The sequence below is a fragment of the Homo sapiens genome, chromosome 8 (assembly GCF_000001405.40).
Source record: "Homo sapiens chromosome 8, GRCh38.p14 Primary Assembly".
In the NCBI taxonomy this organism is placed as follows: Eukaryota; Metazoa; Chordata; class Mammalia; order Primates; family Hominidae; genus Homo; species Homo sapiens.
The window spans coordinates 103,791,280-103,811,258 of record NC_000008.11 but is presented as its reverse complement, the minus strand read 5'-3'; the positions used below and the strand labels follow the sequence as shown (position 1 = coordinate 103,811,258).

Sequence of the window (19,979 nt, the reverse complement as noted above, 5' to 3'; positions counted from 1 at the left end):
TTTAGCGTTAGGACTGCTTGTTCCAAGTATATATTTCCTTGGTAACTAACAAGAGAACCACTGAAAGCAACATTACAATTTCAGGGAGCTATATCAACATGAATAAGCTTCAACTCCATCTCCAATAGTTACATTCACCAACAGCCACAATATAAGGAATGTTTATAGCCCTGGAACTTCAAGAACTCACACCTAAACTTGCAAACTGCCTCTGCAAGTCACCTCTGCTATCTAGTAACTTCCAAGTACACCTAGATTCCTTGAGAAACAAATATTGACTGCACATTGCTATTATATAAGATATTAGAAATAATAGTCATTTGCACAACTATAAATGTGTTTCAGCAAAATATGTGAACAAATGAAATATTATGGAATAACATTGGCCTCCAAGAGTGCCCATTCATAATTCCTTTCTTTCATATAATTCCTCTCTCTACTCATTACACTATGAAAAAAGGCGGTGAGGGATCTTTTCTCCCAAAGGCTACCTATTCTATAAATACAAATATTTGTTTCACTTTGACATTGGCTGTCAGAAAAAAGTGCTTTAGAAGCTTTAAGAACATTAGGATATGTTAATTTGCTTGAGTAAAGTAACCTTTTTAGTATCTATATGTATATCAAAACATCATGTTGTAGACCTTAAATATTTACAATAAAAATTTTTAAAGGACATTAGGTTCAATACTGAAGAAAAAATATCTACATAAAGGTATAACAATAAAGTTTAAAGTACTTTGTTTTCACTAGAACTTGCATATGACAGAACACTTCTCATAAAATAGAATATATTGTCATTGCCAGCTATATAATACATTCAATTAAATATGCTGCAAGTACTGACTAGCTGCTTGCCACTGATTGAGTGTAAATGGGAAACAGTGAGTTGGAAGGTACTTGGCTGACTCTCTTCCACTGCCTACCTTCTCCTTTCTTTCTTTTTTATCTTTCCCTGCCCACCTTCCTTGTCAGCATAGCCCAGGAGGCCACTAGAACTAATACAATTGCTTCTAAGGAGGCTCAGCTTAGAGGCAATATTAATGGTGATTCTAATGGGAACATTTTTTTCTATTCCCATATAGGCAGAAGTCTTTGGAGAGCTACTGAAGAGTGAACTGGTTAGAATTAGTCCTGTGACAAAGGCTCAAACAATTGCTGTTAGATTCTACCTTGCTGCCCTTAAATGTATTCAAGAAGAGGACATAAGGGATTTGTGTAAAGGAAGACTGAATTATGCAGAAGCTAAGATTATCTGACTTACAAAGTTCCTTCAAAATTTTATGCTGAATCCCAAATGCCTTCTGCTTCATCATGCTTTAGTTACAAAAGGGATTACATCAAGACTAATATCTCAAATTTCCCTGGATTTTTTACCCTACCTGTGTTTAGCAGGACGTCAGCTTCCTGCTAAATGACCTCCTATAAATGCGCAAGTACCCAGGCATTTCAAATATGCCTCCACAGTCCTCTAAGTCTACTCATATCCTCTCATCAGTAATATGTGCTGATTATAAAGCCACTTGAGGATGGAGCCTCCCCACTTGTTGGTGCCCTCAGTCTGAATTCCAGTCCTCAGCCAAAGGTGACGAATCTCAAGGTTACAGCAATTCAAGGTACTGTGCTTTATGCAGGTATTGGGAGAATAAATCACTGTTCAAAATTCACTCATTCACTCAACAAGTATTTAAATACTGACTAAAGTATCATAGGTACTTTTCTAAGTACTAAAGAGCTCACAGGAAAGAAAGAAAAAGGAGTGGAGGGAGGAGGGAAGAAGAGAAAAAGAAAAGGAAAAGGGAAGTAGGGAGGACACCATCCAGCCCTTACAGGGGTTTTTATCTGTAATATAGCAGGGAAGACAGAGACTAAGAAATTATATGTGTTATTGAGAATTCAGATTAGAAATGTTAAGAAAACTTGTAATAACAGGTTACCTTGAAATAATCTTGGAGTTCAGAAGTTCAGAGGAAGTTTTCCTAAAAAAAAAAAAATAGATTCAAGATGAGAAACATGGAATGATAAGCATTGGCCAAGCCAAAAGTGGGACAAAGGAGTATTCCAGATATGGAATACTCATATATAAAGATGTACAAAGATCAAGAGATGACACTGATTATGGCATAATCAAAGAACCACAAGAGGCCAATTCAGGGAGAAATCAAATAGCTGGAGAAGAAACAGTAGCCACATCCTATAGAGCATGGAAAACTGTTGAGATTCTGATTTTTAATCAAATCCATGAATAATTATGTGTTTTGCTGTAGCAATGCTTTTTGAGTCAACAGATATATCAAGTCCTAGCAGTCAGAATGGAGAAGATTCAGGAGTTAACAAGAAACACATAGGAGGACATATAACCATAAATACCCCAAAATATTATCTCACTGTATGTGGATGCAGAGAGATCATTTAGAAAGCTAATGTAATAGTCCAGGCAAGATTTTAGTTGGCCTGGATTAAAGTGATCATAACAAGATAGAGAAAAAAGAATAGACTTAAAAGGTAGAAGTCGAATCAACAGGACTTAGTCGTTGATTGGTCACAGTCAAGATAGGTGTAAAAAGTAACTCTTAGATTTATCTCTTAAGTACCAAGTAGACAGTCTTAAAATTTGCTGAGACAAAGAATGCTAAAGGAGAAGCAGGTTGAGGGAGAAGAAAGGGGAAGATGATGGATTGCTGAATTTGAGGTGCATGCAAGACAGCTAACAAGACAGAGAAGTAAGCAATTAAATATGTCACTCTGCAGTTCAGAAGAGAGTTCTCAACTGAAGATATAACTTTAGGAAGCATCAGCGTGTTAGTAATGATTTCAACCAAGCAAGTAGATGAGATCACCCGGAGATAAAATTTAAAAGGAAAAACACGCAAATAAGAGGTTTATGACAAAGCATTGAGGAGCTAAGTTCCACATTAACTCATCAGTTAAAGAAGGAGAAGCCAGTGAAGGAAACAGAAGAGGAGCAGCCACAGAGGTAAGAGAAAAGTCAAGAGAGAGAGTGTGGTAGCCCGGAAGACAATAAAAGACAGTATTTTAAGAAAAATATTATGATCAACTCTGTTATATATTCTGCCATTTGGAAACTGAAGAATTGCTGCTTGTTTTCCTGTGCTTCAAAACAACTCTCGGGAAAATAGCTCTTTTGGCCTGAAATCACTCAATCCATAAAACCCAGATCTAGCCTATGAAATGTAGTCTAGGAATAGACATCTTCTTAGCCTCTTCCATCATCCCCCTTTCCTCCTTTGGTGAAAGGTAAGCAAATAAAATTTTTAGTCTTTTTTCAGCCAAAACAGAAGATCTGATGCAAATAAACTCATGCAAATCTAAATGTATTTCAATCTAATCTTATCAACTTAAAAAATATAATTTGTCTGACCTGTAAATATGGACAGAGATCAGGATTAATCAAAGATCCTAGCTACTTAAAAGTAAAGGTGTTTAAGCACCAAATGTGAAAATAGAAAAGAAAGGAAAATATAATATAAACAAGATCTATTCTATCAATTTTCCATCTGTCTTACCCTTTTTATTACCAGCTCCTCCATAAAATACCTAGTTTATTTACTCTTTAGTCTATTTTAGAACTCCCTTGGTTCCAATGATACTTGTAATGATAAACAAATAATATTAATTGTATATGTGAATCAAGTTATCAGTGATTTTATTACTATATTATTTCCTATCTTAACAGAATTTCCCTTGACCTCATATTCCCTTCCAGGTACTACCCCATTTTTCTGCTCCTCTTCACAGCAAAATTTCTTGAAGAAGTTGTCTTTAGTTGCTATGGCCATGTTTTCATTTCACATCCTCTTTTAAATCCATACTAATCAATTTTCTAGCACTAATGTTCTATTGAGATTGTTCTCACCAATTACTTGCATGTTATCAAACTAAACAGACAATTCTCTGTTCTTTTTTTACCATGACTTATCTGTATCATTTGACACTAATGCTATCCATGACTTTTAAACCATTTTTACTCTTCATTCCTGAGACACATTCTTCTGATTTTCTTTCACAGTGTCAATTTTTTCACAGTGTCTTTTGTTGGCTCTCATTCCTCTCTTAGATCTTTAAATGTGTGGAATGTCCAAGGCCCTGTTTTGGCTGTGTTGTGAACCCTCTCTGCTCTTTTTATTTACAGCTCCCCCTTCCCGGTGACTTAGGTCCCATGGCTTTAAATATCTTCTGTATATCTTTGCCCTTATCTTCCCCTAAAACTCCAGACTCATTTAACCATCTGTCAATTTGGAATCCCCAAACGGAAGTCAAAAGGGCATCTCAAACATAACAAGGCCAAACAGAATTCCTGATTTCCTCACCCAAACCTGTTCCTCCCATTTTTTTTCTGTCTTAAAACAACACCATGATTTATCTAGGAATTAACCTTGATATCTCTTTTGCTTTCACACTCCACCACACAAATCAAATCTATCGGTAGGTTCTATCAACTCTATCTTCAAAATGGAACACAAATCCATGAACATTTTCCATCTCACTACTATAATTCTAGTTCCATCTACCAACATCTCTCTAATGGATGACTTCAATAATCTCCTAGCTTCTCGGTGCATTAATCTTGTCCTCTACAAACCATTCTCCACCAAAGATTGCCCACACACACACACACACAAAATAATATCATGCTCCTTCCATGTTTAAACCCTACAATAGTATCTTATCACATTTAAAATAGAATCTAAACCTCCTCCGTCTACAGAAAAGAGATGTGATGCACTGTTTCATCCAAGGCTTTTTGGACCAAATGGCTGGTGACAAAGTTAGAACTAGTACCTAGAGCTTGTGATTTATAGTCCAGTGCTCCTTCCACGGTACTACTGTATCTGTCATTCAGCAACTTCTTATGGAACTCTCATTTAAAATGTAAGTTAGTGTTATAGTTTCTAAGGGTCCTTGGAATTTAAAATCCAAAGGTGATGTAAAAATACAGATAAAAAGAACAAGGCCTTCAGCCTTGAAGATAAACATAACCCTTAAGCCTTATGTTTTCTGAGAGAATAAAACAATAAAGCATAGATTCAAACATGTTTAGACAGAAAAAAGAAATATTGCAAGAGCACAAATCAAATCTTCATAATCCTTCCACCCTCATGACTCTAATTCTTATTAAACGAAGTCAAATAGAAGAGAATCTGTTGTCTTACCACTTTCCAGACAGGGGTTTTAAGTTATATCTCAAAACTTTATGTTAAATTTTTCATATAAGTGAGTTTCAGATATATATCACAGAAATGAAAAAGTTATTTTATATTGCAACAATTTTGACTCCCCACACACTGTAGTCTTGCCATCTTGGTTATATGAAGAATATTATAAATATTTCTGAGAGATGTAACTAAAATTTATTAATCCTGCTTTATCACAACTGATTAAGTCTGAGGCAGAGGAAAGGAAGACTAAAGTGATTAAAGAGATTAAATATACAGAAAACTCAATAGGAATTTGAAAATATCAATGAGGAAAAATAAGGTGAAAACTAGCTCTAAGAAATAGACAAAAAAGTTCAGGTGGAAATATAATAAAAGAAGAAATGAAAAGAAAAAGTGGAAGAGAGATTGCATTAGTAGGGATTGGGAAGTCAAAATAAAGTTTAATTTTCCAGCTCAAGCACTGTGTAATTAGGTAAGCAAAGTGAGAACTGTTCTACTAATAACCTTCAAACCAACCTTGAAAGACCTTATTTCCAAACAAAGAGTTCCAGACCATACCTTAAAATTTCCAACTGTGTCAAATAATAGATGTTAGCAACTCTCAGGTATGTATCACAGAAATAAAAATAGTTGATTATATGTGACAAAAATTTTGACTCTCTGTACTATTTATTTTTGCTGACTTAGTTATTTAAAAAAACAAGAGTAGCTGCAGCTTACTAAAGAAGAAATCTACACAACATATTAATGTTAATAACACTAAGATGCATCCCAAATCTTATGACAATAGTGAATTTATCATATATTGAGCTATCTTGAGATTCATGGGACTAATTCACTCTTCAGGATTCCTAGGGATAAAAAAGGTCACACAAAATTAAACAAAAACACTCAAGAGAAATAACAATTAGTACCATTATTAAGTATTACACATACAGAAAAAAACACATACATAAAAATAGATACACACACTTTTTTTTAAATGAGGCTGGGTGTGGTGGTTCATCCTGTAATGCCAGCGCTTTAAGAGGCCAAGGCAGGAAGATTGCTTGAGGCCAGAGTTTGAGACTAGCCTGGGCAACATAGTCAGACCCCATCTTAACAAAAATAAAAAATTAGCTGGGTGTGATGGCATTCACCTATAGTCCTAGCTACTTAGGAGGCTGAGGTAGGAAGATTGCTTGATCTCAGGGGCTAGGGGTTGCAGTGATCTATGACTGTACCTCTGCACTCCAGCCTGGGTGACAGAGCAAGACTCTCAAAGAAAAAAAAAAGACAATTTCTACAAACTCCTTATAAGTGAAAAACTACAGTTTAAAAACTCCTCTTGGGTTTTAAATCAAATCTCTCAATGGCTACAGCACCTTTGCAGGTAAATACCACAGTCAAAATATGCCAGGATGATTTAGAAAAACTCTGTCTCAATTCACTACATATTAAACATATTCCTATCTATTCCTCCTAGAAATAAGAGTCAGTAAGGATCTACTGCATTTTCTTACCAGGAGGAGCAGAGAAAATAAACCACATAGACAAACTCAAGGACAAAAGCAGAAATCAAGTGAAAAACAGTCAAGGAAGCTGAGTGTTCCATATATGTTATGTTACCTTATATAATCTTGTCCACATACAATCCAATACTCTGTTGGTGGTAGAGGAGGAGACTACGGAAAATTTATTCCAAAATCTAGCAGTTCTTAAAAGTGTAATCCAGTGCCCTCAGTAGAATCCCCAAATCCCTTTCAGAGGATCTGCAGGGTCAAACCTATATGCATAATACTAAAATGTTATTTGCCTTTTTGATTCTCATTCTCTCTTGGGTGTACAGTGGAGTTTTCCAGAGGCTAAAGTATGTGTGATATCTCAATATATTGAATACAGAAGCTGTCTTCCACTAAGTTAGACAATAATGGAATTTCCCAAAAATGTAAAATAATGTCACTTTTCTCACTAAATTTTTCTTTACTTTTTTTGAAATATGCTGTACTAGTTTGCCATTGCTGCAAAACAAATAACCATATTTTTAATAGCTTAAAATGATGTATATTTATTTTCTTGCAGTTTCCATAGGTCAGGAGTCCAAGTATGGTTTAAATGATCCTCTGACTCAGGGCCTGAGAAGGCTGTTATCAAGATGTCCACTGGACCACGTTTATTTCTGAGCTCAGGATCCTTTTGCAAGCTCATGTGATTGTTGGCATGCCTCAGTTCCTTGTGGCTCAAAGACTTAGGTCCTCACTTTCTCACCTGCTGACAGAGATGTACTACTCAGCTTCTAGAGACCCCACACAGATCCCTGACACATGGCTCTCTCACAGCCCTTTTACAACATGGCAGTTTATTTACTTCTAAACCAGCAGAAGAATCTCTTGCTCCAATTGAAGACATAATCTCATACAATGTGATATAACTATATAACTGACTATCCCAACATCTTTGCCATACTCTACTAGCTAGAAGCAAGTCACAGGTTTTATACATACCCAAGGGAAGGGTAAGTCTCATTGTACATAACTTAGAATTCTGTCTACTGTATACAGTTAGTTGTCATATGGTGGGTTTACTGTTATTTTTAAATTAATAAATGCATATTTAAATTTTTTTATCAGTTATTTCTAATATGGTAAATAGTAATAAATATAATCCACATAAACAAAAATTCTTTGAGGTCTTCAAGGATTTTAAAGATTGTAAAGAGGCCCCAAGACCAAAAAGTTTGAGAACCACCACTTTAATCTAAGTTACGTCTTACATTTGACACATAACACTAGTTTTAAACAGAATAAGCAGAAGTCAAATCCCCAATATGAAAGACACTTTAAATTATGAAAATTATTCAAGTTATTCAGTTATTCCATATCATTTAGCATAAAAATTTGAACTATAATAATTATTTTTATAAAACTTTATTCCCCACCCAATCTCATACTGTATTTCAGAGAATTCCATGAGCTACGTCCTTAGTAGATAAAATAGGGTAGGTTCCATGCACAGTTAGAGCAGGGATTGCTTATCTATAGTAACAAGCAGGAAGGCAGAGAATATAAGTACATATGCTTCAATGTAAATGAGTAAAAAATCTCAAAGTAAAAAACCACCATGATGCTGAATTCATGTTATTATGAATTGACCAATTTAAATGCCTGAATCCTTGGAAAATTAAAAATATGCAATAGGAAAATGTATCTTCATCTTTATTAAAAGTGTTGACTCCAACTCCCCCTCGAGGTGACTAGACCTTGTATGACCTTTGAAAAGACTATTTCTGCTCCTTAAACTTCAGTAATAAACAAGATCAATTTAGTGGCTAGCTCCTTAGTCTCACTCTTCTTTCCCTTTGACCCTCCAAAGGGTACTTCCTAACTGGTTCATCCCAGGCCTGTCTTAGCACATTGGCTCTAAGAGGGAAAAATATCCAGTGAGGCAAATAAAAGAAGAAATTTATTTCAAACCAGTTTTCTTTATTACTGGTTTATTTGCTTTACAAAAAGATCTAAATAAACACTTCTACATTCACCAGCCCCTACCCTTGCCTCACCTTAGTATGGCTGCCAAATTTTGTAGTCCTTATCCATTATATCCTTGACCAATACCGGAATTACTTCACTGGTGTGTATTGGGAGAGCCAAAGGGGAAGGTGAAAGGTGGGTGAGAAGTCAGCATATAGCATTAATATTACCATAAAAGCCCAACTAGAGGCAATGTACTCCCACAGTCCACTATGCACACTCACATATATACTTCTACTGCTAATATATCTGTAAAATATCTGTGAAAAAGGATTATATGAGCATATACGCAAATATCAGTTAAGAACGCCTTACAATTTATTAAATTTTATGTTGTTAATGCATGAGAGACTTGGGTAACTAAGACACACATTAGTGTTGGAATAAATTAAAGAGGCTCAAAAATGGTCATTTTGGTGTTAAAATTCTCTCCACAACAGCTTAAAAAAGAGTGCTGCTGGCTAATAAAACCACCACCATTGGCTAACAAATACTCCCATTTTAATGCCTTACTAGCTTTTCTTTGATTGTAATTTTACTACTAAAGAATTTTCCTTGCTACAATTATCAATACCAAAATATATTTTACAAATGAATATATGACGCTGAAAGAAAGCTTGTTAAAAATGAATTTACAGATATTGTCAAGAAATAGCAAGTAATAAGTAGTGTCTTGCTCAATTAAATGTCACCGATTATGACATTGGATATTGGCATAAAATAGTTAAAGTATTATTGAAAAGCAAGTGCTTCAAAAGTGGACAATCTAGTGAAGTCATGCCCTACAGGAAATGGATAACGGCTTCACTAGACTTTAAATAAGAAGGACAAAACAAGTGGATAGCAGACTAAAAGGCAAAACTTCTGCAAGGTAAAGGTGAATGACAATGATTGAATATCTCAGATGAAAAGTAAAAAGTCACTAAGTCCAGCCTGAGACAACGAGAAATTATCACTAAAATTATCCCAATAGTACTGGCAGATATAAAGGTTAGTTGAAATTGGAATTAAATATAGGTGTAAGATATACAGATTAGTATGGAACATGAAAAAGGTTATGTTGAAAAAGAGTATGAAAATGTCTATTCTGCCTCTAATATTTTAAAAGGAAAAGAAAGAATACTTTTAAATGATTATTTAGACAACCCTAGAATAAATATAGCTACCATGGCTATATATTTACTAGACTGTAAAAATATCCATATGCTCAAGGATAAATAAGTAACCTGAATGGCTGCATAATCATTGAAAAAACTGAATTCATAGTCTTTAAAGACATTGCTGGCTGGGTGCTGTGGCCCATGCCTGTAATCCCAGCACTTTGGGAGGCGGAGGCGGGAGGATTGCCTGAGCTCAGGAGTTCATGATCAGCCTGGGCAACATGGTGAAACCCCGTCTCTATTAAAATACAAAAAAAATTAGCCGAGTGTGGTGGTGTGCACCTGTAGTCCCAGCTACTTGGGAGGCTGATGCAGGAGAATTGCCAAAGGCGGAGATTGCAGTGAGCGGAGATCATGCCACCGCACTCCAGCCTGGGCGACAAAGCAAGACTTCATCTCAAAAATAGAAAAAAATAGAATAAATAAATAAATAAAAATAAAGACAGAGCTACAAGAGAACTCTAGGCCCAAATGGCAGTAGAGGCAAATTCTATCAAACATTTAAAGAAATAACAGCTCTATAAAAACTATTCTAGAAAATTGAAGATAGAAGATCATTTCCTAACTTATCTTAGGAGGCCAGCATTCCCTGATTAAATCAATGATGTTACAAGGAAAGGAAACTACATACAACTCTCCCTCATGAACATAAATTGTAAAAATTTCAAACAAAGTATTAGTAAATCCAATCCAGCAATACATAAATAGAATAATACCATCATGACCAAGAGGAGTATCCCAGAAATGCAAGGTTGATGCAGCATTTGAAAACAATCAGTGTAATTCACCATATAAAGAGACGAAAGAGGAAAAACCATGTGATCCTTTCAACAGAGGCATAAAAAAAGCAAATGACAAAATTTCATAGCCATTCATGAAAGAATTCTCAGCAAATTAGTAATAGAAGACAATTTTCTCAGTCTAATAAAGGACATCTATGGAAAACCTATAGCTAACATCACATTTGATTGTGAAAGACTCAAAGCATTCACCCTAGGACTGGAAAGAAGGCAAAGACGTTACTCTCACCACTTCTATCTAACATTTTAGTGGAGGCACTAGCCAGTAAAATAGGATAAAAAAATGAAATAAAAGGCTTACGACTTGAAAAGAAAAAATAAGGCTTTTTTCATTATAAGTGATGCAATCATCTATGTAAAAAATGCCAAAAAACCTAAAAAAAAAATTACAGTGTGGTACTATCACAGGGTAAAACATAGACCAGTAAGACAGAACAGAGAGCTAAAAAGTGGCCCAATTATATATAAGTGCATTATAAACATTATATATAAGTGCAAAAACCAGTGATGTGAGAATAGTTTGTCTAATAGCTTCTGCTGGGAACAGTGGCTCACCATATGGGGAAATAAAACTTGGGATTCATACTTCATCATGTCCACAAGTGAACTCTGACTTAATTTAAAATATACATGAGAAAGGTAAAAACTGTAAAGCTGGTAGTAGAAGTGTAAAAGAGTATTTCTAGGGATTCTGAATGATGACTGACTTTTTAATCATGACTAAAAGAGCACAAACTATAAATTTTAAAAAGTAATGAATTTAACTACATCAACATTAAAATGCCTGCTAAAAAAAACAACAGACAAAAATGATGTGGAGCTAATTTTTTCAAATTGACAGATAAATAAATACTTCATAGTAATGGCAATCCAAGTAGCTAATATGTATGTGAGGGGATCCTCAGCTTCAATGTAATGAGGAAACTGCAAATTAAAACAAAAATACCCCCTCATATCCACCAGACTGCAAACACATGAAATGCTTAGTAATATCAAATATTAGTAATGATATGGGAAATCACAAATCCTTAAGCACTACAAGTAGAAGTATGGACTGAGGCATTTTTGAGAACAAAACTAGTGAAATAAAGTATACATACCCTATGCCACATTAATTATACATCTACATAGACAGACTACAAAGTCTTGCATAGGTCCATAAGGAGACATGTACAAGGATGTTCACTGACTCACAGTTTATAGTAACGAGTTTTGACATAGCCTAGATTGTCCATCACTAATGGGATGTCAAATAAAATATAGTATATTCACACAAGGGAGTATCTATTAATTTTCCATTGTTGAGGTAAAGAAAATTACCACCAATTAAATGGTTCAAAACACAAGTTTGTTGTCTTACACTTATGTAGGTCAGAAAGTCTGGTAGAAGTCTCATTGGACTAAAATTAAGATGCCAGCTGAGTCTCTTTTTGGAGGTTCTGAGGGGAGTCTATTTTTTGCTCATTCAAACTATTGGCAGAATTCACGTTGTGGTTGTAAGACCAAGGTCCCCATTTTCTTGCTGGCTATAAACTGAGGGAGATTTCCAGCTTCTAGAGGCTGGCAAATTCTTTGACTCATGGTCCCCTTCCCCCATCTTCAAACTCAACAATAGGCATTTTCGTCCTTTTCCTGCTTTGAATCTCTCCTCCTTCTATCTCATCTCATTGACGCAGCCAAAAAAAAAAAAAAAAGTTTTCTACCTTTAAGGCTTCGTGTGATTAGATTGGGCCCACATAGACAATCTAAGTTAATCTCCCTATCTCAAGGTCCATAACCTTAATCATGTCTGCAAAGTCCCTTTGCCAGGTAAGGTAACATCCAGGGGTTCCAGGGATCAGGGTGTGGACATTTTTGGAGGCCATTATTCTGTCTACCACATTATAATGCAGCAGTCTGGAACAACAAATTGATATTCCCACATGAACGAATCTTTTAAAATGTAAGATCTAAAGCACCATATCCTTTCTGTAATTTAAAACGCATGCATACAAAAAGCAACATTCTGTATTATGCAAAGATATATATTTAAGTGGGAAGAAAACACAAATCACCGAAGTGCCATAAACTGACAAATGATTAACAAACCTCACTGTATCTGAGGACCAAAATAAAATAAGAGTGACAGAAGAAAAACTGATAATATAGAAATGTCTATACTATACAAACTTGCTGTCATGCTATTTTTACACAATGCTGTATCTTCTATCTTTTAAAATTCCTTTATTAAAATTTAGTTGGTTTTAACAAATCTACAAAACTTCTCCCAAATTTCCCTATTTGGTTCCATCATTTAAATTTGTTAATGTACAAAAGTAGTCAATTATCTGACTACTTTTATATATTTCTAAATTACATTTTGTTACATTTATATTTGCCCATTTCAAATATTTATGTTTATATAACTATATCATTAATCCTGACTTATTAGATTATAAATTCATATGACACAGAGAATCTTCTACTGTCTTTGTATTTCTCCATATAAACTGTTATATATAAAGTATATACTTAATCAATATTGTAGACTATGTACCTGAAGTAATATTTGCTGCAGTATGATTCCATTGGGAATTTTCAATAGGTCTAACAAGCATTGGGCAGCACAGTATATGAGCTATCACATAGAAAGCCTCAAAGAAGAATAGGAAGACCATGTAATTTATTGTCAACCCCAGGATACTTTTGAGAGTAAAAAGGGTGCTCTTAATAATTATGCCAATATAACATATATGAGCCAGGACTGGCAGTGACAAACTGGGACATAGGTCACGCTGCCCAAAAATGGATAGGAGAACATGGAAAAAAAGCAAGACATTCAAGCAAATTATTTAAAATGAAGCTAGAATGTGACAGGTTAAAGCAAATAGGCATAACAATTTCTTTTCAAATATGCTAATACACTTAAAATGATCCATCACCATTGCCAGTTTCTAAGAAAAAATCGAACACTAAAGATCAATCTGATATGTAGCAACAAGTAGTTTAATTCTTTTATGCATGTTAAGATGGTTTCACAAAGACATTGGGGCAAAATGAGGCTAAGGGGCAGGGAAAATTACCAGATTCTTTAAGTAAATTCCATTTTTGTAAACACAGGATAATTGTAACAAGTAAAAGATATGAAGAAGATAATGGGTAGCTACTACTTTTTCAGTGATTTAGTTCAATTCATTCTAATTCAACTAGTATTCCATTTCTAGAACCTTAACTTGGTATGTATAGACCCAAACATGTAAAAGTAAGTATGCTCTCAAGTTGTTTGAAATTGAGTAAGAGAAAAGAAACATTGACAAGTATACTGAAGATCAGACAGTGGTAAGTGCATTAATAATGGTATCCTTTCTAAGCAAAAATATAATTCTTGCTAGAAAAACATACAGGAAGGGCTCAAGTAACTAGGAATACTTGAGTTAGGCTTTGAAGAAAAAGGTAAGATTTAGGCCGATATGCCAAGGCACACCCTCACTTAACAATCTTGGCACTTGCTATTTCTCTGCCTAGAGTGCTCTTCCCTCAGATATCCACACGTCTTACTTCTTCACTTCCTTTAAGTCTTAACTAAATCTTAAGCAATGCCTTCCCTAACACCCTATTTAAAATTATAAACTGTTTCCCCACAAAAAATCCCTTTCCCTCCTCCCATGTATTATTATACTATCTTCCTCCACAGCACTTGTCACTGGGACCTCAGAGGTGCAGAACTCCAAGTTGTACCACTCACATCTGAGTGAATTGTGCCCCCTGGAGTTCTGCTGCACACAACCTGGACAGCCAAATGCACAGGCCTAAAGCTACACTCTTATCCAACATACTAGTTATTTCTTATTTCTTTGTCTTTCCCAACTAAAAAGTAGTTTTGTCTATTTGTTCACAGCTATACTCTAAGCATCTAGAAATCTGACACACAATCAATACTCAATAAATATTTGTTGAATTCACACATACATAGCTAGAATAGAATTCTAGATAAGAGGAAAAGCAGAGCAAATACTTAAAATTTTAAGAAGGAAAGATTTTTAAAAATTCATTAGTGATCTGCTGAGGCTAGATTATAGGGGAAAGGAAAAAAAGTGGTGTGAGATGAGGTAAGAAAAGATAAATAATAGTGAGTCTCAAAAGAGGGCATAACAGGCTTTTGAGTTAGAAAAACCTATGTTCCACTGGAAAATCTACCTCTAATTTTGGTATGTTAAAATTATTTTTGTATAAAAGGATATCTTAAATAGCACTTTATAACATTTTTATGGGAATTAAAATTACATGCATTAAATTTTTCTCACAAAGTCTAGAACATTGTAGGTACTCAGTAAATGTTCATTTCTCTTATAAAGTTAAGAATTTGAACTTTAAGTCCAAAATGAGAAAGCATCAAAAGTTAGCAATTTAATGACTTCATATCTACACTTTAATATCACGTTTCAGGAAACCAAGTAGAAAATGGAGAGCAGTAAATAAAGTTGAAAAGCAGGAGGCCAGAAAGGAAGAAAAACATATTGTGGGGAGTTGATGGGGAAGGGGATGAAATTAATCAAAATCATAAATATGTACATATTATAAAATCAAGAGGAAGATTAGAAAAATGATACCTAAGTATCTTTAAATGGCCATAAGAATGATTGATGGTGCAATAAGATGGGCTAGGGGATGACAAAGGAGCTGCTACTTTCGGAGGAAGTATATACTTACATTTTAAATGTCTCGATTTTGAAATATTTGTGGAACACAAGGTAAGATTATAGAACTTGGAGTTGTAAATACAAGTCTAGTACTTGGAAATCTCAGAACTGAGATAAATATTTGGGAATAAATATCATATTTGAATATGAAAGGCAGCGATACATGTGAAGGCTTGTTTTCTACAATCTCAAATGTCAACTAAACAAGCTCTGCAACTAGTTCAGGTGGAAAAATCAGAGAATTGTGTATCTTTTGCTTTTAGGACGCATGTTCGCCATCTGGTGGGAAAAACGATAAATACAGGCTTATCCTCTTTTTTTTCTTTGTACTTCTTATTTTTCATCATTATTATTATACTTTAATTTCTAGGATACATGTACACAACGTGCAGGTTTGTTATACATGTACACATGTGCCATGTTGGTGTGCTGCACGCATTAACTCATTTTCATTAGGTATATGTCCTAATGCTATCCCTCCCGCCTCCCCCCACCCCACAACATGCCCCAGTGTGTGATGTTCCCTACTCTGTGTCCAGGTGTTCTCATTGCTCATTTCCCACCTATGAGTGAGAACATCTAGCGTCTGGTTTTCTGTCCTTGCGACAGTTTGCTCAGAATGATGGTTTCCACCTGCATCCATGTCCCTACAAAGGACATGAACTCATCCTTTTTATGGCTGCATAGTATTACAAGGTGTATATGTGCCACATTTTCTTAATCCAGTCTATCATTGATGACATTTGGGTTGGTTCCAGGTCTTTGCTATTGTGAATAGTGCCACAATAAACACACATGTGCATGTGTCTGTATAGCAGCATGATTTATAATCCTTTGGGTATATACCCAGTAATGGGATGGCTCGGTCAAATGGTATTTCTAGTTCTAGATCCCTGAGGAATTGCCACACTGACTTCCACAATGGTTGAACTAGTTTACAGTCCCACCAACAGTGTAAAAGTGTTCCTATTTCTCCACATCCTCTCCATCACCCGTTGTTTCCTGACTTTTTAATGATCGCCATTCTAACTGGTGTGAGATGGTATTTCATTGTGATTTCGATTTGCATTTCTCTGATGGCCAGTGATGATGAGCATTTTCTCATGTGTCTGTTGGCTGCATAAATGTCTTCTTTTGAGGAGTGTCTGTTCATATCCTTTGCCCACTTTTTGATGGGGTTGTTTGATTTTTTTCTTGTAAATTTGTTTAAGTACTTTGTAGATTCTGGATATTAGCCCTTTGTCAGAAGGGTAGATTATAAAAATTTTCTCCCATTCTGTAGGTTGCCTCTTCACTCTGATGGTGGTTTCTTTTGCTGTGCAGAAGCTCTTTAGTTTAATTAGATCCCATTAGTCTATTCTGGCTTTTGTTGCCATTGCCATTGGTGTTTTAGTCATGAAGTCCTTGCCCATGCCTATGTCCTGAATGGTATTGCCTAGGTTTTCTTCTAGGATTTCTATGGTTTTAGGTCTAACATTTAAGTCTTTAATCCATCATAAATTAATTTTTGTATAAGTTGTAAGGAAGGGATCCAGTTTCAGCTTTCTATACGTGGCTAGCCAGTTTTCCCAGCACCATTGATTAAATAGGGAATTCTTTCCCCATTTCTTGTTTTTGTTCCGTTTGTCAAAGATCAGATGGTTTTAGATGTGTGGTATTCTTTCTGAGGGCTCTGTTCTGTTCCATTGGTCTATATCTCTGTGTTAGTGCCAGTATCATGCTGTTTTGATTACTATAGCCTTGTAGTATAGTTTGAAGTCAGGTAGTGTGATGCTGCCAGCTTTGTTCTTTTGGCTTAGGATGGTCATGGCAATGTGGGCTCTTTTTTGGTTCCATATGAAGTTTAACATAGTTTTTTTCAATTCTGTAAAGAAAGTCATTGGTAGCTTGAAGGGGATGGCATTGAATCTATAAATTACCTTGGGCAGTATGGCCATTTTCACGATATTGATTCTTCCTATCCATGAGCATGGAATGTTCTTTCATTTGTTTATGTCCTCTTTTATTTCGTTGAGCAGTGGTTTGTAGTTCTCCTTGAAGAGGTCCTTCACATCCCTTGTAAGTTGGATTCCTAGGTATTTTATTCTCTTTGTAGTAATTATGAATGGGAGTTCACTCATGATTTGGCTCTCTGTTTGTCTGTTATTGGTGTATAGGAATGCTTGTGATTTTTGCACATTGATTTTGTACCCTGAGACTTTGCTGAAGTTGCTTATCAGCTTAAGGAGATTTTGGGCTGAGACAATGGGGTTTTTCTATGTATACAATCATGTCATCTGCAAACAGGGACAATTTGACTTCCTATTTTCCTAATTGAATACCCTTTATTTCTTTCTCCTGCCTGATTGCCCTGGCCAGAACATCCAACACTATGTTGAATAGGAGTGGTGAGAGAGGGCATCCCTGTCTTGTGCCAGTTTTCAAAGGGAATGCTTCCAGTTTTTGCCCATTCAGTATGATATTGGCTCTGGGTTTGTCAGAAACAGCTCTTATTATTTTGAGATATGTCTCATCTATACCTAGTTTATTGAGAGTTTTTAGCATGAAGGGCTGTTGAATTTTCTCGAAGGCCTTTTCTGCATCTATTGAGATAATCATGTGGTTTTTGTCTTGGTTCTGTTTATATGAGGGGTTACGTTTACTGATTTGCGTATGTTGAACCAGCCTTCCATCCCAGGGATGAAGCCCACTTGATCGTAGTGGATAAGCTTTTAGATGTGCTGCTGGATTCAGTTTACCAGTATTTATTGAGAATTTTTGCATCGATGTTCATCAGGGATATTGGTCTAAAATTCTCTTTTTTTATTGTGTCTCTGCCTGGCTTTGGTATCAGAATGATGCTGGCTTCATACAATGAGTTAGGGAGGATTCCCTCTTTTTCTATTGATTGGAATAGTTTCAGAAGGAATGGTACCAGTTCATCTTTGTACCTCTGGTAGAATTCGGCTGTGAATCCATCTGGTCCTGGACTTTTTTTGGTTGGTAGGCTATTAATTATTGCCTCAATTTCAGAGCCTGTTATTGGTCTATTCAGGGATTCAACTTCTTCCTGGTTTAGTCTTCGGAAGGTGTATGTGTCCAGGAATTTATCCATTTCTTTCGGATTTTCTAGTTTATTTGCATAGAGGTCTTTATAGTATTCTCTGATGGTAGTTTGTATTTCCTTGGGTTTGGTGGTGACATCCACTTTCTCATTTTTTATTGCGTCTATTTGATTCTTCTCTCTTTTCTTCTTTATTAGTCTTGCTAGCGATCTATCAATTTTGTTGATCTTTAAAAAAAAAAAAAAAAAACCAGCTCCTGGATTCACTGATTTTTTGAAGGGTTTTTTGTGTCTCTACCTCCTTCAGTTCTGCTCTGATCTTAGTTATTTCTTGCCTTCTGCTAGCTTTTGAGTGTGTTTGCTCTTGTTTCTCTAGTTCTTTTAGTTGTGATGTTAGGGTGTCAATTTTAGATCTTTCCTGCTTTCTCTTGTGGGCATTTAGTGCTATAAATTTCCCTCTACACACTCTTTTAAGTGTGTCCCAGAGATTCTGGTACATTGTTTCTTTGTTCTTATTGGTTTCAAAGAACATGTTTATTTCTGCCTTCATTTCGTTATGCATCCAGTAGTCATTCAGGAGCAGGTTGTTCAGTTTCCATGTAGGTGAGAGGTTTTGAGTGAGTTTCTTAATCCTGAGTCCTAATTTGATTGCACTGTGGTCTGAGAGACAGTTTGTTATAATTTCTGTTGTTTTACATTTGCTGAGGAGTGCTTTACTTCCAACGATGTGGTCAGTTTTAGAATAAGTGCGATGTGGTGCTGAGAAGAATGTATATTCTGTTGATTTGGGGTGGAGACTTCTGTAGATGTCTATTAAGTCCGCTTGGTGCAGAGCTGAGTTCAATTCCTGGATATCCTTGTTAACTTCCTGTCTCGTTGATCTGTCTCTTGTTGACAGTGGGGTGTTAAAGTGTCCCATTATTATTGTGTGGGAGTCTAAGTCTCTTTGTAGGTCTCTAAGGACTTGCTTTATGAATCTGGGCGATCCTGTATTGAGTATATATATATTTAGGATAGTTAGCTCTTCTTGTTGAATTGATCCCTTTACCATTATGTAATGGCCTTCTTTGTCTCTTTTGATCTTTGTTGGTTTAAAGTCTGTTTCATAAGAGACTAGGATTGCAACCCCTACCTTTTTTTGTTTTCCATTTGCTTGGTAGATCTTCCTCCATCCCTTTATTTTGAGTCTATGTGTGTCTCTGCATGTGAGATGGTTCTCCTGAACACAGCATACTGATGGATCTTGACTCTTTACCGAATTTGCCAGTCTGTGTCTTTTAATTGGAGCATTTAGCCCATTTATATTTAAGGTTAATATAGTTATGTGTGAATTTTATCCTGTCATTATGATGTTAGCTGGTTATTTTGCTCGTTAGTTGATGCAGTTTCTTCCTAGCATCGACGGTCTTTACAATTTGGCATGTTTTTGCAGTGGCTCGTACGGGTTGTTCCTTTTCATGTTTAGTGCTTCCTTCAGGAGCTCTTGTAAGGCAGGCCTGGTGGTGACAAAATCTCTCAGCATTTGCTTGTCTGTAAAGGATTTATTTCTGATTCACTTAAAAAGCTTAGTTTGACTGGATATGAAATTCTGGATTGAAAATTCTTTTC

At 35.6% G+C, this 19,979-nt stretch overlaps 1 protein-coding gene across 47 annotated transcripts in view; it reads right to left on the bottom strand.

The window, feature by feature from the left end:
* The window catches only part of RIMS2 (regulating synaptic membrane exocytosis 2), a 755,485-nt gene that overhangs the window by 444,836 nt on the left and 290,670 nt on the right, over nucleotides 1-19,979 (bottom strand). For 21 of the 47 annotated variants that reach the window (XM_017014015.3, XM_017014010.3, XM_017014016.3 and 18 more), the window contains one exon: nucleotides 1,938-1,979. The exons of the other annotated variants lie outside the window; for them this stretch is intronic. In XM_017014015.3, the coding sequence (XP_016869504.1) occupies nucleotides 1,938-1,979 (42 nt within the window). The remainder of the gene's footprint in view (nucleotides 1-1,937; nucleotides 1,980-19,979) is intronic. 47 annotated transcript variants of the gene reach the window in all.